Source organism: Homo sapiens, chromosome 8 (assembly GCF_000001405.40).
Source record: "Homo sapiens chromosome 8, GRCh38.p14 Primary Assembly".
NCBI classification, from domain to species: Eukaryota; Metazoa; Chordata; class Mammalia; order Primates; family Hominidae; genus Homo; species Homo sapiens.
Genome location: NC_000008.11, coordinates 38,101,876 through 38,127,095, shown reverse-complemented (window position 1 = coordinate 38,127,095; position 25,220 = coordinate 38,101,876). Strand labels below are relative to the sequence as shown.

Sequence of the window (25,220 nt, the reverse complement as noted above, 5' to 3'; positions counted from 1 at the left end):
TGATTTCCTGGGCTCAAACAATCCTCCTGCCTCAGCCCCCAAGTAGTTGGTACTACAAGTGCTACCACATCCAGCTAATTGTTTGAAGAGACAGGGTTTGAACAAGTTGCCCAGGCTGGTCTCAAATCCTGAACTCAAGCAATCTGCTCTCCTTGGCCTCCCAAAGTTCTGGGATTACAGGAATGAGCCACAGCACCTGGCCTTAACTGTTTTAAAACAATTTCAAACTTTCTTTCTTTTTTGAGACAGAGTCTCGCTCTTTTGCCCAGGCTGGAGTGCAGTGGCGCGATCTCTGCTCACTGCAAGCTCCGCCTCCCGGGTTCACGCCATTCTCCTGCCTCAGCCTCCCAAGTAGCTGGGATTACAGGTGCCCGCCACCACGCCCGGCTAATTTTTTATATTTTCAGTAGAGACAGGGTTTCACCGTGTTAGCCAGGATGGTCTTGATCTCCTGACCTCGTGATCCGCCTGCCTCGGCCTCCCAAAGTGCTGGGATTACAGGCGTGAGCCACCGCGCCCGGCCAACAATTTCAAACTTTCAAAAAATAGTAGAGTCCTAGTGTGTGCTTCACTCAGTTTTCCCAAATGTTCACATCATGTATAATCATTAACATAATCATCAAAACCAGAAAATTAACAATAATACTATTAAATAATCCATGGACCTTCTTAAAATTAAGCCAATTATCCAAGTAATATCCCCTTCTCTGGCCCAGGTTCTAATCCTAGATTCCACATTTCACTTAGTTGTCATGTCTCCTTAGCCTCTTCCAATCTCAAACAGTTCCTCAACCTTTCATAAGCTTGACACTTTGAAGAATATTGGTCATTTCAGTTTGTAGAATGTCCCTCAGTTACATTTGTCTGGTGTTTTCTTTTGTTTTTTTTTTTTGGAGATAGAGTCTTGCTCTGTCATCCAGGCTGGAGTGTGATGGTGCAACCTCGGCTCACTGCAACCTCTGGCTCCCGGGTTCAAGCGATTCTCCCACCTCAGCCTCCCAAGTGGCTGGGATTACAGGTGCCTGCCATCATGCCTGGCTAATTTTTCTATTTCTGTAGGGATGGGGTTTCACCATGTTGACCAGGCTGGTATCAAACTCCTGACCTCCGGTTATCTACCCACTTTGGCCTCCCAAAGTGCTGGGATTACAGGTGTGAGCCACCATGCCCGGCCTGGCGTTTCCTCATTTTAAGGTCAAGGTTATTGTTATTCTTACTCAGGAACTCCAATGAGGTAATGTTGTGCCCCTCAGTGCATCATATATGCTATCAAAATAGTGATGTTCACCCTGGTCACTTGATTAAGATGATGCCTGCCAGGTTTCTCCACTGCTAAATGACAATTTTCCTTTTGTAATTAATAAATATCTCAGGAGATGAACCGGTATTTAAGACAATCAAGGAAATCTGATTATGAACTGAATTTGGATGATAGCAAGGAATTATTTTGGTTATAAAAGAAAATATCTGCATTTTTTTTTTTTTTTGAGATGGAGTTTCACTCTTGTCGCCCAGGCTGGAGTGCAATGGCGCGATCTCGGCTCACTGCAACCTCCGCCTCCCAGGTTGAAGAGATTCTCCTGTCTTAGCCTCCCGAGTAGCTGGGATTACCACCAGGCCCGCAATTTTGTATTTTTAGCAGAGAAGGGGTTTCTTCATGATGGTCAGGCTGGTCTTGAACTCTCGACCTCAGGTGATCCACCCGCCTCAGCCTCCCAAAGTGCTGGGATTACAGGCGTGAGCCACTGTGCCTGGCCCCAATAGCCGCATTTTTAAAGAGATGCATAGTTTTTAGTGTACATAGGGTGATATATATATTTTTTTAATTCAGAAAAAGAAAAAGAAATAAACAGATAAAGCAAACATGGCAAAATCTTGAACTGTTAAAATCTGGGTGAAAAGTGTACAAGGTATCGCTATAGTTTGGGTATTTGACCCTAAGTGCAGGTTGAAATTTGATCACAATGTTGGAGGTGTGGTCTGATGGGAGGTGTTTGGGTCAGGAGGGCAGATACCTCAAGAGCAGATTAATGCGGAATGTGGGGATGTGAGTGAGTTTTCACTCTATTAGTTTCTGAGGAGCTGGTTGTTAAAAAGAGCCTGGCACCTCCCTCCCTGTCTTGCTTCCTCTCTTGCCATCTAACGCCTGCTCCGCTTTGCCTTCTACCATGACTGGACATGCCTGGGATCCTCACCAGAAGCAAGCGCTGGTGCCATGCTTCTTTTAGCCAAATAAACCTCTTTTCTTTACAAATTACCCAGCCTCAAGTCCTCCTTAGTAGCAACACAAAGGGACTAAGACAGGTATTCACTGTAATTCATCTCTCTACCTCTGCATATGGTTTGAATCTTACTTTATTACCAGGCCATTATGTGAGATAAGGGAGCAATCTAAATAATCAGGGGAGAACCCCATGACTTCCACAGAAAGAAAAAATGGCAAAAGGTGGGAGAGAATTTCGAGGCTTTGCAGGCTGATTTTAACAGGAAAGGTTGAGGCTGCAGTGAGCCATGATTACACCACTGCACTCCAGCCTGGGTGGCAGAGTGAGACCCCATCTTGAAAACAAACAAATAAACAATGAGGCCAGATGCAATGGCCCATGCCTATAATCCCAGCACTTTGGGAGGCCAAGGAAGTAGGATCACCTGAGGTCAGGAGTTCAAGACCATCCTGGGCAACACAGTGAAGGAGACTTTGTCCCTAAAAAAATAATTAAAATTTAGCTGGGTGCAGTGATGTGTGCCTGTAGTCCCAGCTACCTGGGAGGCTAAGATGGGAAGATTGCTTGAGCCAGGAAGTCGAAGCTGCAGTGAGCTGAGATTGCACCATTGCACTCCAGCCTGGGTGACAGAACAAGAACCTTTCTAAAAAAAAAAATAAAATAAAATAATTGCATGGAGCAAAGACTATATATATAGCACGCTGCTATTCATGTATAAAAAAGGAGATAAGGCTGGGCGCAGTGGCTCACACGTGTTATCCCAGCACTTTGGGAGGCTGAGATGGGCAGATCACCTGAGCTCAGGAGTTTGAGACCAGCCCGGCCAACATGACGAAACCCCATCTCTACTAGAAATACAAAAATTAGCCACGGGTGGTGGCACACACCTGTAGTCCCAGCTATTCGGGAGGCTTCAGCATGAGAATTGCTTGAGCCAGGGAGGTGAAGGCTGCAGTGAGCCGAGATCACGCCACTGCCTTCTAGCCTCAAAAAACAAATCAAACCAAAAAAACACAGAAACAGACAAACAAAAAAGGGAGATAAAAGAATATATACATGTACTGTATCTGCTCATTTGTGAAGAAATACAGCAAGGATAAACTAGAAACTAGAGTGTGAGTGGGAAGATGGTGGAAAAAAGAGAGTGAGAAGGGCACTGTAGGGGTGATGAGGGAGTGACATTTTGTAAACCGTTCTGTACAGCTCTGACTCCCAGAACCATAGTAATGTTTCACACATCCTCACTCCAAACATACATACACACAAACAATCAACATGTGGGAGAATCCAAAATGGCATCAAACACTAGCAAATAAACCTGACTTAACTGGACATGACCCACTAAAGGAAGTGGGGAAGAAAAGAACTAATCTAAGTTACCAGTACCTTGGACTGAGTACGGCAAGTCTAAAGACAAAAAGAGCTATATATAAATGCTATAATCTACTTAGTAAATGTTTCTCCCAGGGATTAGAAATTCTGAAACTGGCTGGGTTCAGTGGCTCATGCCTGTAATCCCAGCACTTTGGGAGGCTGAGGCGGGCAGATCACAAGGTCCAGAGTTCAAGACCAGCCTGGCTAACACGGTGAAACCCCGTCTCTACTAAAGATACAAAAAATTAGCCGGGCGTGGTGGCACGTGCCTGTAATTCCAGCTACTCAGGAGGCTGAGGCAGAAGAATCACTTGAACCCGGGAGGCAGAGGTTGCAGTGAGCCGAGATTGCGCCACTGCACTCCAGCCTGGGTGACAGGGCAAGACTCCAACTCAAAAAAAAAAAAAAAAAAAAGAAATTCTGAAACTACTTTATGTGCATATTAAATATGAGCAAGGTCAAGAATGGTGGCTCACTCCCAAGACCCTGGGAGGCTGAGGCAGGATGACGGCTTGAGCCCAGGAGTTTGAGACCAGCCTAGGCAACATAGTAAGACCCCACCTCTAAAAAATTAAAATTAAAAAACCCAGCTAGGTGTGGTGGCGTGTGCCTGTGATCCCAGCTACTCAGTAGGCTGAGGCAGGAGGATCGTTTGAGCCCAGGAGGTTGAGGCTGCAGTGAGCCAGGACTGCATCACTGCATACCAGCCTGAGTGAGACTCTGATCTCTATAACAAAATAAATATATTGAAATAAAGTAAATATATTGTAGATAATTATCTAATTATTCACATTTCCCACTGTTGGAGAAAGACCTTACAAATAAGGAAAGGAGGAAGGCTGTCAACCCAGGTATCAATATAAATTGTTATCTGTGTACATGCAGGTTTGTACATACACACATGCACTTCCTACCTCTGACCACTGAGGAAGTCTAGAAGCAATGACGCCTAGTAACAGCACACCTAACACCTAGATATTAATTGCTATTTGTTTATTTACTTTATTACTTAAAAAAAAAATAAGGAACGCTTCACAAATTTGTGTGTTATTCTTGCACAGGGGCCATGCATCTTCTCTTTATCATTCTAATTTTCGTATATGTGATATATGGAAGTGAGCACCTAGATGTTATTCCTAAACAACATGCTCCAATCAAAGGAACCAGGGCTCGGTGAAAGAAGTAGGCCTGGGGCACAGAAAATATAAGATTGGCCAGGAACACCTTTTGATGCCTCAAAGTAAAGAAATTTTTTTTTTAAAAAAAGACACGGCTTATCGAAAGAACACAAGAACCAACTTCTTGAAGAAGCTCCTACTTGCCAAAGCTGGAATAATTTAAACAACAAAATAATCAAAGTATTGGATTATACTCCCTGAAATAAAGTAAATATATATGAGTCCATACTGATATAAATAATCAATTAACAGAAAAGGGAAAGAGGAAATCGAAAATCATCATACAACACAGTCATAATTGTTGCAGACAATATCCACTGATGGGTGCTAAAATTAGTGAACATAAGTTTAAAAACAAACAAGATATTTGCATAGATAGACTCGATGTATTTTTGCCTAAGACATTTGTTAAGTATAAGGGAAAGACGGTAGTTTTTTACAGTGGAGAAAGCTAGCAGAATCACCTTAACCAAATGATCATGGTCAACGTAACCAATAAGACCTACTGACATCATGAATCCCATGAGATGATGCTATAAGACATTGTTTCCGTGTTATTCTTCCCCAAACTGCCTAACTTCAGTCTAATCATGAGAAAACATCAGACAAATCTTCACTGAGGAATATTCAACAAAATAACTGATTAAAACACTTAAAAATATCATGGTCATGAAAGATAAGCAATGGCTTTGGAACTGTTAAAGACTATAATAGACTAAAGAGAAATAATTAAGTGTGAGTGGAAAAACTGGTAAAATTGAAAGGTCTTTCTCTAGTTGTGTTGATAATATTTACCAATGTTAATTTCCCAGTTTTGATAACTGTACTATGGTTTTCTAAGATATTATCATTAGGAAAAGCTTGATGAGAAAGAAAACTTATTTTTGGCAACTTTACTGCAAGTTTAAAATTAGTTCAAAATAGAAAGTTTTAAAAAACCATATATATATATATATATATATATATATATATATATATATATATAAATAAAACGGCTGGAGCTTATAGGAAGGAACAGAATTTCTTGCACATTCTGGATGAATCTAGACAGAGATGGGGGTGAGGCAGTGGCAACAGACTGAGATGTACACCTAATTCTAGACTGACAAGGCTAATGATGGCAGTTCAAAGTAACCCTGCATCCATATGATCTCCAATACTTTACATACCTCGATCATGTAGGGCTAACAAAACCCGTTCATACAAGCAGGCTCTGTAGAGGTCTCCAGGAATAGGTTTTCCTGCCCAGCAGTCAAGTTCCAGCTTCTCGGGGTCAGGGGCGTGCGGATCAGGCTCAGCTAGAATATACCGATAGCCATCTTTGTTAAACGGGTGTTCCAATGGGTAGCCATGAGGGGGAAGGCGCTGAGCAGAAAACAAAGGGTCACTGCAGAAAGGAAAAAATAACATCAAAAAACTAAAACCCCCTTTAGCTCAAATGCATTCAACTGTGTAAGAAAGGCCTCTGGTTTATTTCAGCTAGAATACATGCAACTTCACAGCAAATACTTCTCATTACTCAAATAAGTAACTCTGCCCTCTTCAGGCAAAACAAGGAAGTGAAAAGGATTAGCTTTATTGAGCAAGGTAGTTTTGGTGAAATTACTTGTAGATTGTGGATATCTTCCCAGTGGTCTTTAAACATGAATTGATGTCTATGAAACTGAGCTGGTACATTATGCGGGGGGGGGGGGGGGGGGAAGGGAGGAGAGGAATGGGGGTGATTAGGGTGATAGTCTTTAGTATACTGATTATTATAAAGTAATGAACAGAAGCTCAGAGACATAAGCACTTGCTATCTTGCTAATCTAAGTAAATAACTTGTGCAGTGAGCCGAGATTCCATCACTGCACTCCAGCCTGGGTGATAGAGCAAAACTCCATCTCACAAAAATATATAAATAAATAAGCAACCTGGATTTCATCACCTCAGCTTTAGACAAAGGGAAGGGAAAAGGCATGAGAAGGGAGAAGCAGAAAGTTAAGGAGCTAAAGGAGCTAACATTCAACACTGGTTTCACTCCCTCCCCACCTATCCTTTCTCAAGTCGCCTTAACAGAACTTCACTCCCTAGGTTCCCCAGGCTTATCACCAGAAGACACTATACTTGTTACTACTATAAATTTTGTACTAACAAATGTATGTACACTTAAATGTAAAACATGACACTTAAACTTGGGTTTGTTTTGTTTTTTTGAGACAGTTTCGTTCTCGTGGCCCAGGCTGGAGTGCGATAGCGCGATCTCAGCTCACTACAACCTCTGCCTCCTGGGTTCAAGCAATTCTCCCACCTCAGCCTCCCGAGTAGCTGGGATTATAGGCACGTGCCCCCAGGCCCAGCTAATTTTTTTGTTTTTTGTTTCAGTAGAGATGGGGTTTCACCACATTGTCCAGGATGGTCTCAAACTCCTGACCTCAGGTGATTCACCTGTCTCAGCCTCCCAAAGTGCTGGGATTACAGGCATGACCCACCGTGCCCGGCCTGGGGTTATTATTTTTGTTTTTTGTTTTGTTTTTGAGACGGAGTCTCATTCTGTTGCCCAGGATGGAGTGCAGTGGCATGATCTTGGCTCACTGCCACCCGCCTCCCAGGTTCAAGCGATTCTCCTGCCTCAGCCTCCCAAGTAGCTGGGATTACAGGCGCTCACCACTACACCTGCCTAATTTTGTATTTTTAGTGGAGATGGGGTTTCGCCATGTTGGCCAGGCTGGTCTCAAACTCCTGGCCTCAAGTGATCCACCCTCCTTGACCTCCCAAAGTGCTGGGATTACACGCATGAGCCACTGCGCCTGGCCTCCAACCTGGGGTTATTTTGTCCCTCAAAGTGCTCAAGGTTTAGAAAAAATGGACAGGCTTTTTAACCTCCGACCCTTGAACTCTCTTCCCTCTGCTGGACTTTCCCAGCACCAAATAATACTTAAATAGTGAGGGGGGCAGGGTGGGCACTCTCCCCACCTCCGGGCCTTCTTGGTGGTCCCTGTGGTCCCTCCATCCTGCTGTTTGCGCTTGGCTCCTCGTCCTTTTCCGCTGCTTCCTGCTGCAATTCCCCCTTTGAAGAGAAGGCAGATTGCTTTCAATGAGCCACAAGGGAAACACCATGTGGATACTGAAATTCCATAGGGACCAACACACCCAATGTGCATTTGTGTAACACCACAGGAGGATTTCCTTCCAAAGGCATATTGGATTTCACCCTAGTTTTCAAAGAATCTACTGAGCATCTCATAGCCTGGGAACACTGGGTTCTGGCAATAAACTCAAATGAATCCAGCACTATGATGGTTGGGTTACAGTTTTCAACCTTTGTTCCTAATAAACTGCAACTATTGGTATACTTTCTCAGGGTGTGACACAAATGCATTCTCACTCATTCAGATCCCAAACACCCACAGCTAAAAAGAATGAAAACAACTGTATGGGCACATTTTTTTTCATCCAAATTAATACAAACACCCATAAAGAGAGAATATCCTCACTGTAAGTCGATGTTCACTTGCTTGAACTACACAATACAGTCCATAAACATCATAAAAGCACAGTATCTGCTAAAGCATTGAACCTGAATATCCAACAAGACAAAATACATCCAACATGGAAAACGGAAACAGAAGTACTAAAAAGGTGTTTCTCTCCAGTACTGCTAGATCTCCATCGTGGTTGCACATGACACAAATAAGAAAGAAGGCTTTCGATTTGCTAGGCAATTTTTAGTTCCATACCCATTCGTCAAATACAACATTTATTAAGATTGTGCCAATGCACTAAAATTCAGGTTAGATTAACCTGGCTTGTGGAACTAAAAGCAATAAATAGGAATAGACAATTTACATATTTTATACAAAAAATTTAGCTACATACTAAAGCCACAAGGAAGATTACCTTGTGTATTTCTGAAATAGGTACTTTGAAATTTTTGTCCAGTTCAAATTCCTCTCAATTAGTTTTATTTTTCCCTCTTCCAGGAAATGTCCCTGAACTGCAGGAAAACACCTTTACGTAAACAACTGCAGAGTACTAAATCTTAATTTGGGGCAAGCTTGGGAATTACTAGCAGTTCTGCTGCAATAAAAAGGATCAAGACATTGAAGGTGGCTCATATTCTGCATATACAGGACCAGACTTTTTATGCAGAATTTCCTTTGGTGAACACCTCAGATGTTATTCCTATTTTTCATAAAAGTTTAATGTTAAACTGCTGCAATGTCATCATCTCTAGTTTAAGTAACCATAATCAAAAAACAATTAAATTTTTGTTTTTTTGAGACAGAGTCTTGCTCTGTTGCCCAAGCTGGAGTGCAGTGGCACGATCTCGGCTCACTGCAACCTCTGCCTCCTGGGTTCAAACGATTCTCCTGCCTCAGCCTCCTGAGTAGCTGGGATTACAGGCGCCTGCCACCACACTTGGCTAATTTTTTGTATTTTTAGTAGAGATGGGGCTTTGCCATGGTGGCCAGGCTGGTCTCAAACTCCTGGCCTCAGGTGATCTGCCTGTCTCGGCCTCCCAAAGTGCTGGGATTACATGCATGAGCCACCTCGCGTGGCCACAATTACATTTTTAATTGTCATTTGCATTTTGATTATTTTAAGAAGTTTCAGATCCAACCAGAACAGAGCAAACAGTACAGAAGTGGGGTGGCTGGCCATGTTAGGCAGAATATGACAACATACAAGCTCTTAAATACTAACATTAAACTCAACTACTGTTTCATATTAAGTGCTATTGCCGCCATTTTCATAATGCTTCAAATTATGTAGTTTTTAGCTTCTACCATAGCTCAGCAAAAAGCATTTTCCAAACCACAAAATACTTAAGTCTGAGAGGCTGAAAGAAGACAGTGGAGGAATTCACCTCCAAAAGTGGCTCCACCTGTAAGAACAGAAGTGGCACCATGTATTTGTCAAATTTTAACAATTAAAACGGGAAAATATGTTGTAAAAAGATAACACACTAGCTATTTCCAACCCACCTTAAAATATTAGTAACAGTAGAAATGATCAGATATTTAAGACGCGACCACTCCAAAAGACAGGTTAATGATCCCATATATCAGATGAACAGCTAAATATCTCTCAGCCACCCCAACTCTTATTAAATAACCATTAGTAACGAGGGGTTTTCCCGCTATTAGATGGGTTAACAGAAGAACAAGCTGCAATGGGTGGTTAATATAGAAATGCTATCATGTGAATGAGCTGAAGTTTCAGGGCAAGAAAAATTAGAAGATGGGCACAGGAAATCTGTTAAAAGTAACAGCTGAATTGCAGAAAAAGAGTGGAGAGGAGATGAATCTTTCTAAATTTAATGTTAGTTATAAGGATACAGATATAAACACAGCAAATCTGACCTTGAAATGGTTCCTTGTCTTATGCTAAACCTGTCTCACTCAAGACCAAACTGTTGTAAAGTGACAAAAAGTTCTCCTCTATTACCATCTGCCAAATCCTTGGCTAGTTCCTAAAAATTGAGTTTGAACTATAAAAGCATTTTAGTAAGTATCCAGGTTAAGGGTCAACCCAAAGAATGGCCAGTTCTAGGCACAACTGGATTCAATAGCTTCCAAATATTTCAGCAATGAGATATGTAAACACTTACCATTTAAATTCCCACTAGTAGACACAGCACTGCTCTGTTTTTGGTTGTCATAAGCAGGACCAATGTTACTAAGGTCCTGCAAAAATACATCCAATTAAAAAAGGAGTCTACGTAAGTCAGTCAATCTGGATGCTCATAAAACAAGAGAAATTCTAACAGAATGGGAACTAAAATTGACAATTCTTTTTTTTCTGAGATGGGGCCTTACTCTATTGCCCAGTCTGTAGTACAGTGGCGCGATCTCGGCTTACTGCAACTTCTGCCTTCCAGGTTCAAGCGATTCTCTTGGTTTACCCTCCCGAGTAGCTGGGATTATAGGCACACACCAACACGCCTGGCTAATTATTATTATTTTTTTTTTGAGAGAGTTTCACTCTTGTCACCCAGGCTGGAGTGCAGTGGCGCGATATCGGCTTACTGCAACCTCTGCCTACCAGGTTCAAGTGATTCTCTTGCCTCAGCCTCCTGAGTAGCTGGGATTAGAGGTGCCTGCTGCCATACCCAGCTAAAGTTTTGTATTTTTTAGTAGAGATGGGGTTTCACCATGTTGGCTAGGCTGGTCTCAAAACTCCTGACCTCAGGTGATCCACCCACCTTGGCCTCCCAAAGTGCTGGGATTACAGGCATGAGCCACCATGCCTGGCCTAATTTTTCTATTTTCACTAGAGATAGAGTTTCGCTGTGTTGGCCAGGCTGGTCTCCAACTCCCGATCTCAAATGATCTGCCCGCCTCAGCCTCCCAAAGTGCTGGGATTACAGGCGTGAGCCACCATGCACAGTCTGAAATGGACAATTCTAAACAATGAAGCTTGCAGAGTCCCAAACTTGGGTGTTTTAAGGACCAGCAAGCAACCTTGCAAGTATGTGTGAGGTAGGCCAAGTGTAAGGATCAGAATAGTTTCAGAATGGCGATAAATGGCAATTAATCAATCAACTTGGGTAGAGGCAGGAGAGGGCACAGGGCAAACCAGAGTGCCTAAGCCCCATTCACTCAGCTCCTGTGGGAATTCAGGCCCCATGCAGTCAGATGTTTTCATTTTACAAGACAGAAATCTAAATTTCTATGTGAAATCTTGCATTTTCTTTTTTGAGAGACAGGTCTTGTTGTATTGTCCAGGCTGGTCTTGAATGCCTGGACTCAAGCAATCCTCCTGCCTCAGCCTCCAAAAGTGCTAGGATTACAGGCATGAGCCACTGCACCGGGCTGAATCTTGCATTTTCAAAGCTGGCAAATCAAACATGTAAAGACACAGCTTTAAGATTTGACATTCTGACTTGCCAAATGTGAACCCTGCTGTTGAACAAAAAACAGCAATTTTCGTTTGCCTGTTATGTTAGATATGCAACACAAATTCTTCAAAACAAATTCTTTTCACAACAAAGAAAGTTTTTAAGAGCAAAATTTAAGATGGCAGGAAGATTAGAAGTAATTTGAAATAGCATTTTTACATGTTACAAGCGAGGAAACTAAAGTTAAAAAAAAAAGTGATTTGAAGAAATTCATAACATTTTGGGGAAGACCCACAACAAAAACACTATACAACACTGGTCTCTTGGTTGAAGGTGAGTACTCTCATATCAGTCACTATTTTTTTGGAGTCCACCATGCTATGTGCATATAATGGCAGTGTGTTATGTGGCAAATATACAAATGTAAACAGAACCTGATTACCTATCCCCGAGTGGCTTAAAATCAAAAAGAAAATGTAAAACATATTAATGTACCTGATCCAAAAGTCCAAATTTGGGGTAATCTTCTTCTGGATCTTTACTGCCTGGATCTGGGTGTTCCTTTACCAAGAATACATCTCTTTCTTTACTCTAAAAAGAAGTAGTGTTTTACTATTAATGAACATTTTATACTTAAAAGTATGGAATTAATAATCAACCACTAACTCTAAAAGTCAATTCCTAGGTGCAGTGTCCAAAAAAGATAGTATCGTTTTTCCTTCTAAGAAATAATCAGTGACCATCAAAAAATTCAAACAACAGAGAAACACAAAGAGTGCCCAAGTTTTTCATAATCCTCACCTATCCTTCTATTTCACAAAGATAAGCACTGTTAACAGCTTGCTGTTGACTTCTCCCCAGGTGCTCTCTTTAATTTTAAGGACAATATTGCCTATAACTTTTTTTTTAATAGAAGAAAAGAAATGGTCTCTAATTTCAATACAAAATTATTCTTGGAAAAGTACTGTGGACAAGTTTCAATACATAAAACCAGGTGTATGCGGGCAATGTTCATATAAGACAATATGCATCTCACTGATTCTGTGTGTGAAAACTACTAAAATTCACAATTAGCTGTATCTCACACTCAAAGATTTAACATTAAGTTGTTCTAATTTTATCATTTCACAATGAGACGATATTATTGAATTCTTACAAAAAACAATGGTTTTTTAAATGTCAAGTCTAATCAATTTTAATCTACTTACCATTGTTTTAACAATGTTATTTGGCCAAGTCATTTTCCCAGGTCTCTGTCTGGTTGTCATGCACTCCCAGTATTTATCAATAAATGGTATAATATCCTAATTTTCAAAATAAATTAAGACTATTACTGCTGCAATCAAAGATATGCTGACAAAGAAAGAAAACAGCATTTTTCGAAGATCTTGTTAGAATCAAGAGAAAAATCCATGTTAGTTTTTCCCCCCACGGTGTTATACAAGGTTTACATGTTTGTCTTTTAATCTCTGAATATTTCATTGCATACACACAATACACAGATTATGGGGATTTCCACAAGTATAAACAAACCTTAGCCATGTAGGGCTTACACTCCAATTGGAGAGAAAAGCTCTGTCACAGTCCCTTGGCTGTCAATTGGAAGATGACTCCCAAATTATTCTCTCTTGAACTCCTATTTCTACCAGCTGAGACATCTCTATCTGGACATCCTAAAGGGACCTCAAACTTCTTGTGACTAAAATGGAACTTGGTATATTACCTCATAAATCTGCTTTATGGATTTCTATTCTTGCTCCTGATAACTTAGAACCAGTCATCACCCAGAATAAGCTAGACACATTAAGAGTTGTCCTTGACTCTTCTCTCACAATTTTTACACCTAAATGCTCACCAAATAAATTTTAAAATTTCAGAAATGTCACTTCAGTCAGGACTCCCTTCCATCCCCACTGCTGTGACTGTGGCTCTCACCAACTCCTGCTTGCATGACTGAAACGACTTTTGACCTTCATCTTCTGGCCTCCTATTTAGATAATCTTCAAAAGCACCACCACCAGAGTTAGCTCCATGACAACTAAATCTTTACTGAAAGGAACCAGGGAAAGTACAAAGAAAGCCTGGAATATTTTGTTGTTCCAGAAAGTAAGGAAGAGTTCAAAAACGGATGGGGGAGTATCAAAGAGTTTCAGGAGTCAGTCTGATAGGGCTACAATGGTTGAATCTGGGACAACCTGAGGGTCAGAAATGAAAAAATCCAACAAGAGCTGGGCGTGGTGGCTCACGCTTGTAATCCCAGCACTTTGGGAGGCTGAGGTGGGTGGATCACTTGAGGTCAGAAGTTTGAGACCAGCCTGGCCAACATGGTGAAACCCTGTCTCTACCAAAAAATACAAAAATCAGCCAGGCATGGTGGCATGCGCCAGTAGTCCCAGCTACTCAGGAGGCTGAGGCAGGATAATTGCTTGAACCCAGGAGGCAGAAGTTGCAGTGAGCCGAGACATCGCACCACTACATTTTAGCCTGGGTGACAGAGCCAGACTCCATCTCAATTAAAAAAAAAAAAAAATTCCAACAATGGACTATAACACACTGATTTTTAAAAAATAATCCACAGTGATATTTAAAAGGGAAGAAAAAGAATGAGGGAAAGTTATTTACAGAAGACTTGCAACCAAAGAATGTATTCTGATTTACAACTACTACTCTAACAACTGATTCAGGGTTGGATAATCAATGGGGGCTAAAAATCACTGGTTGAAAGGAGTAGGAAAATAAAGTACTCACATAATCTCCATGTATGGCTTAAGGATTACTTAGCACAAAGATAAAAATGCTCCCTCCTTAACCAACTAGTCAAATTTAGGATCACTAATAATAAAACAAAGCAATATCTTATATACCTCCTGATGTGACAGTCTAAAAAACACACAATACTTATGTAATATTCTTGCCAAAGATGTTTAACACATGGCCAGGCACAGTGGCTCACAACTGTAATCTCAGCACCTTGGGAGGCCAAGGCTGGTAGATTGCTTGAGCCTAGGAGTGTAAGATCAGCTTGGGCAACATAGTGAGACCTGTCCCTATTAAAGCGGAAAAAAAAAAGTTTAACCTGAACATAATCATGAAGAAAGTCAAATGCAAATTGAGGAATATCATGCCAAACAACTGCCTAAGCACTTAAAAAATTTTAATTCATTAAATAAATAAATAAATAAATAAATAAATAAAGGGGCTGGGTGTGTTGGTTTATGCCTGTATTCCCAGACGTTTGGAAGGCCAAAGCAGGAGGATCACTTGAACCCAGGAGGTCGAAACCAGCTAGTGAGACCACATCTCCACAAAAAATTTTTTTAAGTTAGCTGGATGTGGTAGCATGCGCCTGGAATCCCAGCTACTCGGGAGGCTGAGGTGGGAGAATAGCTTGAACACAGGAGGTTGAGGCTGCAGTGAGCCGGGCCTGTGCCACTGCACTCCAGGCTGGGTAATAGAGCAAAACCCAACTGAATAAAGGAATTGTTTTATTAATAGATTAGAGACAAAACAGTCATTACAACTAAATGTAATGGGTGATCCTGACCAGATCCTGGATGGAGAAAGAAGCTATAGAGGAGGATATTATTAACACAAAAATAATCCTGAGAAACTACAAATATGAACTGTAAATTAGTAGTACTGCACCAATGTTAAATTTTTTTATTATGATTATGGCACTGTGGTTGTATAACAGAATATTGGGTAAAGTGTACCCACAATGTAGCCTCATATAGCTTAAGGGAAAAACAGATATATGGGGACATAAAACAAATGTAGCAAAATGTTAACTGTTAAATCTAAGAAGAAATGGGCCGGGTGCAGTGGCTCACACCTGTAATCCCAACACCTTGGGAGGCTGAGGCGGACGGATCACTTGAGTACGGGAGTTCTACCTGCCTGGGCAACGTGGCGAAACCCTGTCTCTAAAAAAACCATAAAAACTAGCTGGGTGTGGTGGTGTGCACCTGTAGTCCCAGCTACTTGAGAGGCTGAGGTGGGAGGATCACCTGAGCCCAGGAGGTCAAGTCTTCGGTGAGCCGTGATGGTGTCACTACATTCCACCTTGAAACTTTTCAAAATAATTTTGGAAAAAATAAACTAAAAAGAGGCCACGTGCAGTGGCTCACACCTGTAATCCCAGCACTTTGAGAGGCCGAGGAAGGCAAATTGCTTTAGCCCAGGAGGTCAAGGCTGCAGTGAGCCATGATCACACCACTGCACTCCAGCCTGGGTGACAGAGACCCTCTCTCAAAAAAAACACAACAGTCCAGGTGCGGTGGCTCACGCCTGTAATCCCAGCACTTTGGGAGGCCGAAGCCAGTGGATCATGAGGTCAGTTGGAGATGAGCCTGGCCAACACGGTGAAATCCTGTCTCTACTAAAAATACAAAAAATTAGCTGGGCGTGGTGGCGCATGCCTGTAATCCCAGCTACTCGGGAAGCGGAGGCAGGAGAATCTCTGGGACCCAGGAGGCAGAGGGTGCACTGAGCTGAGATCGCATCACTGCATTCCATCTTGAAAAAAAAAGAGAACAAGGTAATCACTGAATCCACTGTCATATATTCAATAAAAACTGGGAAGAAAGTACTTGTTAGGGAGTATATTTAGAAGTTCCACCTAACTCTTCAATATAACTGCAATCACATTAGTTCCACCTCTACCTTATCTTTGGAGAACATTGTCTTCGGATGTTCATCCTGTGTTCGGGACTGCCATGTCAGGTTGGCCAAAGCACTAAGGCACATTTCCTTCAAGTCTATCAAAAACAAAAAGGAAGAAACAGTTATCTGTAGTACTACATCTCTACTACCAAGGGAATACTCGATAAGTGGTCCAGAAAATAACAATTATAGCAGCAAAATGGAGTCATCATGTGACCTGAAATGGGCAATTGCAATTATTCAGAGCTAAACCCCAACTGAATTTATACCAGCTACTAGGCAAAGGTCTCCTGATTCTGCTACGCCCAGATCCCTTTTCTTTTCCAGTGGATAATCATCTTCAAATACTCCAGAGTTTGTTCTTACTTGCTTGCTTCCGGAGGAAATAGGTATTCCCACTGTGATGGCAGACGTTGCAATGAAAACTGTAGTTGGTCATGAAAGGTAGACAGGATCTGCCGAAGAGCCAAATTATACGAATTAGTGAACTTGTGAACACACACACTTCTTTTTCTTTTTTTAAAGACAGGCTCTCACTCTACCACTCAGGCTGGAGTGCAGTGGTGCAATCATAGCTCACTGCAGACTTGACGTTCCCTGGCTCAGGTTGATTCTCCCACTTCAGCCCCCCAAGTAGCTGGGACTATAGGCATTAGCCACCATGCCCAGCTAATTTTCGTATTTTTTTATGGAGTCAGGGTTTCGCCATGCTGCACAGGCTGTACGCCTCTTTATGAGAAGTTAACATGAATCCATTCCCCTCAGTGACAGGTAAATTAAAATGTTAATATGTTAACATAGTCTTAAAATGTAAAAAGGTTGTCAAAACCAAAACAGGGCTCATATTTTTATAAATACCTGGATTTTTCTGTCACGAAAGTTAATAAGACCTTATCCGTTATACTGGACAATTCAGCATCTAGAAGGTTCTCACTGGTATCTCGTTAAGTTTATTTTTTGAGTACCTAAAAAGAATATGCCAGGCTAGCTGTAGAAGAGGACAAAGTAGTCTAAGGTGTATCTCTATGGTGTCAATAATGTGGTTGGAAAGGGCAGGCAGAATGTAAGAAAAAATGAATTAAAAATGTAAATAACTAGGCCAGGCACAGTGGCTCAGACCTCTAATTCCAGAACTTTGAGAGGCCAAGGCGCATGGATCACCTGACATCAAGAGAAGACTTGCCTATTTGAAGGCAAGAGAGGAAGAGGCCAGGAGGGGAAAGACAATATGGCAGAGACGGATGCAACAGAGGAACCAACGCATTTGAGAAGAGAAACATGGTAGTGATTGCACAAGATGACAGGAAAAGCACAGGAGTTTAGTCTTGCAAAGGGCAAAGTAACAGAAGGACAGAAGACCTTTAGTATAAATGGCTTAAGCTAGAAGAGAAGAAATCAGAACAAAGGTTTATCTTGGACTCTGAAACTAGCTTAGGATATCCTCAGAGAAGACTGCATTTACCAACTATTGCTACCCTCATGGAATTACGAAACATTCTTACAAATGTTACAGCTGAGTTTCCTTACCTTCACTTCTCTGTAGAACCTCTTCTGTTTAACAGACTATTGTGATAAGCTTATTTACAAAGACAAAACCTCATACTAAAGATAGGTAGGTAAATAGTTATTTTAATTTAAATACAAACAGGTGTAAAAAGCAGCCTTTTTTATACCCTGCTAGCTCACATTCTCTATCTCAGTTGTAAAAGATAATCCATCCCACCTAACTGGGCTTTATTTTTCTTTTCTTTTTTGAGACAGGGTATCACTCTGTTACCCAGGCTGGAGTGCAGTAGCAATCATGGCTCACTGCAGCCTCAACCTGCAGGGCTTAAGCAATCCTCCCACCTAAAGCTCCTGAGTAGCTGGTACTACAGATGTGAACCACCACGCCCAGCTAATTTTTTTCTATTTCTCGTAGAGACAGGGTCTCACTATGTTGCCTAGGCTAGTCTCGAAGTCCTGGGCTCACGTCATTCTCCTGTCTCGGCCTCCTAAAGTGCTGGGATTACAGGTGTGAGCCACCATGCCTGGCCTTTTTTTTTGAGACGGAGTCTCACTGTCGCCCAGGCTGGGGTGCAACCTCTGCTTCCCGGGTTCAAGTGATTTTCCTGCCTCCCGAGTAGCTGGGACTACAGGCACGCACCACTGTGCCCAACTAATTTTTGTATTTTTTTTTCTGGTGACGGGGTTTCACCATGTTGGTCAGGCTGGTTTTGAACTCCTGACCTCGTGATCAGCCTGCCTTGGCCTCCCAAAGTGCTGGGATTACAGGCGTGAGTCACTGCGCCTGGCCCCCCACCTTTTTTTTTTTTTAACTTGATACCACTGATAGGATCTAACTGGACTTTAGATATAACTTTTGAAATTCAGTTACAAACTGTTGTCTCCAAAGCTACCAAAACTTTGAACTGTGATTTGATTCTTCCTTGAATTCCTCCCAGTTATCTCTCTAGTAAACTTCCTTTCCTAAACTGTCTATCCAAACAAATTTTTCTGGCAAAAGTGGCCCTATCTTAGGCCTCTCTAAGAGACCAGGCTTGCTTAGCTAGTGTGTTTTCCCAGCAGATGTTGCTACCAAGATCAATTATTTCTTCCTGATCCTTCAGTATTTTTCTTTCTTTTTAAAAACACTCTTTCCTAAATCACAAGTCACATGTTAATTAAGACATCAGCATTTCTAAAACCCACTTTAACCTTTTAACTAGAAAGTATACAACAGATTATAAAGGAAAGCTGGGTGTGGTGGCTCATGCCAGTAATCCCAACACTTTGGAAGGGTGAGGCAGGAGGATCCCTTGAGCTCAGAAGTTCGAGGCTGCAGAAAGCTGTGATCCTGCCATTGCACTCCAGCCTGGGCAGCAGAGCGAGACCCAGTCGCAAGAAAAAAACAAGAAAACATATATATATGTATATATATATACATATACACACACACACACACACACACACACACACACACACATATATGTATTTCTTCACAATCTCACCCAAGGTGGATTAATTTCACGATAATGCAGCCTTATGTTTAGATAGTCTTTTATAAATGTATTAGCATAATACAAACCATAAAGAACATTACAGAGAGCGAGCAGTACAATTATTCCAACAGACAGTCAGTATAAGGAAAAAAGTCTTTCATTCTCAATCACAATATGATTTTAATTCACTAGAAGAGGTACATGATTGGAAATAGGTTTGCTGAGGAGAGTAGACAATATACCTAAAGGAGTGAGTCAGCAGCAATGAGAAAGGAAAAAAAGGATGGTTCAGGCATAAAGAGCATGGGTCATCTCAAATTTTGGACAACAGGCTTTATCCACATATATCCTTTCTGAAAAATCCAAAACACCAACACAAGGTTTATATTGTTCTAAATTTGTTTATATAACACTTTGTAATTGCATTTTTTTTTGTCTCCAAACCAGGTTGTCAACTCAAAAGGAGGGGCAATACCCACCATTGTATCTACCAGAGCTGTGCCCTCAGTAAGCAGATAACATGCTAAGGGAATTAAAACAACTCCTGATTCAACATCCTACTTGCTGAATAGGGGTTAGGAGACATAGGAAATACTTTGCATTTATTTTGCCCACAAAGTAACTGTTGAGCATGTTCAGATTTATTTTACCGAGCAATTCTCACAAAAACTATGAAAAGTACTCACGAGGTATCTATGCCAAATGTGTCAGCCGTGAACCATTTTGTACAAATCCCACATTGCAGCTCTACCTCACCCAACTGTCGGCCATTCTCTTCATCCACGGAGCCCGCCTGAGTATCCATCACCTCTGATGTATCCCCAGCACCTTCCTGTGTCAGAGCAGTTCGAGACTCAAATCAGTTGACTTGAATGTATTTTACTTTATTTTATTTTTTTAAGAGACGGGGGTCTCCCTATGTTGCCCAGGCTGGTCTCAAGTGATCCTGAGGTCTCAGCCTCCCAAAGTGCTGGGATTACAGGCATGAGCCACCGTGCCTGGCCTGAATGTATTTTTGATTCGCTTAAAAATGTAAAAACAAGGCCGGGCGCGGTGGCTCACGCCTGTAATCCCAACACTCTGGGAGGCTGAGGCGGGAGAATCAACTGAGGTTAGGAGTTCGAGACCAGCCTGGCCAACATGGTGAAACCCCGTCTCTACTAAAAAGACAAAAAAAAGAAGCCAGGTGTGTTGGCAGATGCCTGTAATCCCAGATACTCGGGAGGCTGAGGCAGGAGAATCGCTGGAACCCGGGGGGAGGAGGTTGCAGTGAGCCGAGATCGCGCCACTGCATTCCAGCCTGGGCGACAGAGCAAGGCTCCGTCGCAACAAAAAAAAAAAAAAAAGAAGAAGAAGAAATAACTAAAACAAACCCTATTTTGTCTTGCAAACAACTAAAAATACTTACTAGTGTATCTTTTCCATTAGATGATTCTGTCTCCAAGCCACCGCTTACATCGACCAAGTTTGCCTCCCTATAAGATAATGAAAGCGCTCAAGTAAGAATTCTCAAGACAAACCTCAAAATGCCTATTCCCAAAAATGATGATCAAATTACAGCCGAACTTCATACTCCTGCAGCTTTTTCAGCTAAGCCTGATCTCAGACTGGATGCCCAAGGTACTGTCAGGATACTGAGAAGGTGGACATGTCAGACAGTCGCGGACCCACGGAGCACAGGGAAGCCTAACCGGCCTTTACAGTCAAATCTACCTGGGTTAGAGTTGGTCCTGGGAGAGGTTCAAAGAGAGGCAGCTCTCCCACCCTGTTTTCAGAGTGACCGTTACTTCTTCCAGTCTGGCACTGCAAAGTGGTTTCTTTTCTGGAATATGTGAAGGCCTCCCGTTAAAGTGTGAGCTACCAGCTTCCTGCCAGGGTGCAAGGATCAGAGATAACGACAGGAGCCTCAGCTCCCACCGCCCGTGAAAGGTGCGGAAGGGGCGTTATCCGAGATATGCTTGAGAGGGGACGGGCCAAGCGGCGCAGAGGCAGGGCGAGCCATTGGCGGCGGGGCCTGGGTTCGCAGGGGGCGGGCGGCAGGGCTCCAGGAGCCGCGGGATTCGCGAGGGGCGGGCCTCCCTCCCGCGTCTTCCTCGGGCGGCAGGACCTCTTACCCGCCTTCAGCCTCCCCGGAACTGGGCTCAACTGTCGGAGCAGCAGAGATCCCCTCTCCAGGAGGAGCGGCTGCTCCCGCTGCCACCGGCTTCATCTCCCCCTCTTCTGCCCCTGTTGCATTTGCGACCGCTCCTGGGCCAGGCCCGGCACCCGCTTCCTGGCCAGGTCCTGCTCCTGCCGCCGCCATCACGGCCACCCCTGGACTTCTCGCGAGAATACTCTCTTCTCTCGCGCGCGTTGCTGTGTGACGCTGTAGTCTTCAAACAGAAAAAGCCCGCGGTGCGTCCACCGCCTGCCTGAGGAAGCATAATTCCACGACCGCTTTAAGGCCAGGCGCGCGGGCAGAGGTGGGCCGGCCTCCCGCGCCGGCGGTGGCCGCGGGCCTGGCAGGCTGAAGGTGGAGGAAGCTAGATGGTTAGTGCGGCTCTCTGGAGGACTTCCTTTCGAGTCAGGGACTGACGCGGCGTATTTTCGTGGCTACGACTGGATATTCTGCGCAGAAGAGGGTCCTTGAGAGCGCTGGCCGTGCCGTGCCGCCAAACACTCCTCACCACCGAATGTGGGAAACGTCTTCCTTGGAGTCTAGCACTCCCTGCCCGCCCCGGATGGAATTTGGTTTTCTGCGCAGGGTCGCCCCTTGGAGCCCGTTTCCAAATGATTTTAAGAGGGAAGGGAATCTAGGGAGGCCGATTCCAGGGGCGAGGGTGGAAAACCCAGGCCGGGCAGCCGAGGAGCGGCGTGGGCACTAGAAGCGGCTCGCCGCTTCCTACTGTGAGAGGCGGAAAGCGAAGCCCCGGGGTGTGCCGGGGCACTCGGAATGTAGACAAGTTTGGTGCCCAGCGAAAGGAAGAGGTGTGGACTGAAAGTACGAACTTGGGAAGTCATCAACAGTAGCTGGTGGCTGGCATCAGTGGAGTGAGTTGAGTCTTTCAGAGCCATGGTCTCCAAACTCGAGAATGCAAACCTCTGAGAGTGTTGCGGCCAGGAACGTTTTCAGGACACCAGTGTTTATCCTATATCCTAAAATGTTGCCTAACGATAATACACTCTTCTCCCGCTTTACACAAGAACGGCGCACCCCTCGCCAATCCTCAGTCTAATCTTACTGTGATGTGTCCACCGATAGTGTAGGAATCTCTGGGCCACTGGACGCCATGGGAAATACGTAGATATTGATTTCCCAATTGGTTCTCAATTATTGGTTTTCAACAAAATTGAAGAAAGACCTAACTGAGTTGCCAGGTTACATTTTTAAAATTGATGATAAATACTTAAATCAGGGGTTGGTACTCCAAAGAGAAGCAGGATGCTTGATCTAAGTATCTCCTCCCAAATACGTAGTATTGTAGCAGTTTTAACATATGGTCGCAGAATTTTGTGTTTTCTTGTTGTTGTTTGTTTGAGACAGAGTCTCGCTCTGTCGCCCAGGCTGGAGCGCAGTGGCCCGATCACGGCTCACTGCAACCTCCACCCCAGGTTCAAGCGATTCTCCTACCTCAGCCTCCCGAGTAGCTGAGATTACAGGTATCTGTCACCACGCCCGGCTAATTTTTGTTAGTAGAGGCGGGGTTTCACCATGTTGGCCAGGCTGGTGTCGATCTCCTGACCTCAAGTGATCCACCCACCTGGGCCTCCCAAAGTGCTGGGATTACAGGTGTGAGCCACCGCGCACGGCTTTTTTTTTTTTTTTTTGAAACGGAGTCTCGGTTTGTCGCCCAGGCTGAGTGCAGTAGCGCGATCTCAGCTCACTGCAACCTCCACCTCGCGGTTTCGGGTTCAAGCGATTCTCTTGCCTCAGCCTCCCGAGTTGCTGGGATTACAGGCACGCGCCATGACGCCTGGCTAATTTTTGTATCTTTAGTAGAGACGGGGTTTCACCTGTGTGTTTTTTTTTTTTTTTTCTGAGACAGAGTCTCGCACTGTCGCTCAGGCTGGAGTGCAGCAGTGGCGGCATCATACCTCACTGCCGCCTCAAGTTCCCCGGGTAAAGCAATCCTCCTGCCTTAGCCTCCTGAGTAGCAGGGACTATAGGCACGAGCCACCACGCCCAGCTAATATTCTTTTTTTTTTTTTTCTTTTTGAGACGGAGTGTTGCTCTGTCGCCCAGGCTGGAGTGCAGTGGTGCAATCTCCGCTCACTGCAAGCTCCACCTCCCGGGTTCACACCATTCTCCTGCCTCAGCCTCCCGAGTAGCTGGGACTACAGGCGCCCGCCACCGCGCCCAGCTAATTTTTTGTATTTTTAATAGAGACAGGGTTTTTGCCGTTTTTTAGCCAGGATGGTCTCAATCTCCTGACCTTGTGATCCGCTGCCTCGGCCTCCCAAAGTGCTGGGATTACAGGCGTGAGCCACTGCTCCCGGCACGCCCAGCTAATTTTCTTAATTTTTAGTAGAGACAGGGTCTCATCATGTTGCTCAGACTAGTCTCCAACTCCCGAGCTCAAGCGATCCTCTTGCCTGGGCTTTCCAGCGTGCTGGGATTACAGGAGTGAGCCATCATGCCTCCACACAAATTCTTTAATACCCCCCTCCCCTTGATTGTGTGGGCTGGACTCAGTGACTTGCTTCTAACTAATAGAATGTAGAAAAAGAAAATAACATGGCCAGACGCGGTGGCTCATGCCTGTAATCCCAGCACTTTGGGAGGCCGAGGCGGGCGGATCACCTGAGGTCAGGAGTTCGAGACCAGCCTGACCAACATGGAGAAACCCCGTGTCTACTAAAACTACAAAATTAGCCAGGCGTGGTGGCGCATGCCTGTAATCCCAGCTACTCAGGAGGCTGGGGCAGGAGAATCACTTGAACCCGGGAGGCGAGGTTACAGTGAGCCGAGATCGCGCCATTACACTCCAGCCTGGGCAACAAGAGTGAAACTACGTCTCAAAAAAAAAAAAAAAAAGAAAAAAATAGTAATTTTTATTTTTTATTTATTTTCTTTTTCCTCTTGGTAGAAAATAGTAGTTTTTACGGTGCAGAAATGGGCGAACACACCACCTTACCCAAGTGGTCAGGTTAATATAACCAGTTAAAAATTATAGGCCGGGCGCAGTGGCCTACGCCTGTAATCCCCGCACTTTGGGAGGCCGAGGCAGGTGGATCACGAGGTCAGGAGATCGAGACCATCCTGGCTAACAAGGCAAAACCCCGTCTCTACTAAAAATACAAAAAATTAAGCGGGCGTGGTGGCGGGCGCCTGTAGTCCCAGCTACTTGGGAGGCTGAGGCAGGAGAATGGCGTGAACCCAGGAGGTGGAGCTTGCAGTGAGCTGAGATCGCACCACTGCACTCCACCCTGGGGGACAGAGCGAGACTCCGTCTCAAAAAAAAAAAAATTATAAATATACCCCCCGATATACAATGAGATGGCAACTTCATCTCTTTGGTATTCCCCAAAATCCATAATCCAAGTCTAATCAAGAGAAAGCATCAGATGAATCCAAGTTGAAAGACATTCTAGAAAATATGTTGGCTGGGTGCAGTGGCTCATGCCTGTAATCCCAGCACTTTGGGAGGCCAAGGCAGGAGGCAGGAAGATTGCTTGAAGCTAGGAGTTCAAGACCAGCCTAGGCAGCAAAGCAAGACCCTGTCTCTATAAATTTTTTTTTTTTTTTGAGACAGAGTTTTGCTCTTGTTGCCCAGGGTGGAGTGCAATGGCGTGATCTTGGCTGACTGCAACCTCCGCCTCCTGGGTTCAAGCGATTCTCCTGCCTCAGCCTCCTGAGTAGCTGGGATTACAGGCATGCACCACCATGCCCAGCTAATTTTGTGTTTTTAGTAGAGATGGGGTTTTTCCATGTTGGTCAGGGCTGGCCTGGAACTCCCGACCTCAGGTGATCCACCTGCCTCGGCCTCCCAAAGTACTG

The 25,220-nt window shown here is 43.8% G+C and overlaps 1 protein-coding gene and 1 pseudogene across 8 annotated transcripts in view, besides 4 other annotated features; both read right to left on the bottom strand.

Moving 5' to 3' along the window:
- The window catches only part of ASH2L (ASH2 like, histone lysine methyltransferase complex subunit), a 34,588-nt gene extending 12,985 nt beyond the window's left edge, over positions 1-21,603 (bottom strand). For 2 of the 8 annotated variants that reach the window (XM_005273682.2, XM_006716412.2), the window contains exons 1-11: positions 21,358-21,567; positions 20,652-20,718; positions 19,930-20,075; positions 16,629-16,717; positions 16,263-16,357; positions 12,809-12,904; positions 12,096-12,191; positions 10,371-10,446; positions 9,627-9,644; positions 7,733-7,826; positions 5,947-6,164 (exon numbers count right to left, since the gene is read on the bottom strand). In XM_005273682.2, the coding sequence (XP_005273739.1) occupies positions 5,947-6,164; positions 7,733-7,826; positions 9,627-9,644; positions 10,371-10,446; positions 12,096-12,191; positions 12,809-12,904; positions 16,263-16,357; positions 16,629-16,717; positions 19,930-20,075; positions 20,652-20,718; positions 21,358-21,545 (1,183 nt within the window). In that variant the 5' untranslated portion in view covers positions 21,546-21,567. Of the gene's footprint in view, positions 1-5,946; positions 6,165-7,732; positions 7,827-9,626; positions 9,645-10,370; positions 10,447-12,095; positions 12,192-12,808; positions 12,905-16,262; positions 16,358-16,628; positions 16,718-19,929; positions 20,076-20,651; positions 20,719-20,956; positions 21,304-21,357 lie in introns of those variants that run through there. The other 6 variants (NM_004674.5, XM_006716413.4, NM_001105214.2 and 3 more) reach the window with 4 other exon arrangements.
- On the bottom strand, positions 4,616-4,722 carry RNU6-988P (RNA, U6 small nuclear 988, pseudogene; annotated as a pseudogene).
- Positions 21,180-21,379: a silencer, noted in NCBI's record as "silent region_19116". NCBI's record gives its function as "represses an Ori minimal core promoter by ATAC-STARR-seq in GM12878 lymphoblastoid cells {active_cell/tissue: GM12878}" and the evidence as "EXISTENCE:reporter gene assay evidence [ECO:0000049][PMID:35858748]".
- Positions 21,470-21,599: an enhancer, noted in NCBI's record as "active region_27241". NCBI's record gives its function as "activates an Ori minimal core promoter by ATAC-STARR-seq in GM12878 lymphoblastoid cells {active_cell/tissue: GM12878}" and the evidence as "EXISTENCE:reporter gene assay evidence [ECO:0000049][PMID:35858748]".
- Positions 21,710-21,799: a silencer, noted in NCBI's record as "silent region_19115". NCBI's record gives its function as "represses an Ori minimal core promoter by ATAC-STARR-seq in GM12878 lymphoblastoid cells {active_cell/tissue: GM12878}" and the evidence as "EXISTENCE:reporter gene assay evidence [ECO:0000049][PMID:35858748]".
- Positions 23,981-24,269: a silencer, noted in NCBI's record as "fragment chr8:37960345-37960633 (GRCh37/hg19 assembly coordinates)". NCBI's record gives its function as "represses an EF-1alpha promoter that drives an FKBP-Casp9 reporter gene in an ReSE screen in HepG2 liver carcinoma cells {active_cell/tissue: HepG2}" and the evidence as "EXISTENCE:reporter gene assay evidence [ECO:0000049][PMID:32094911]".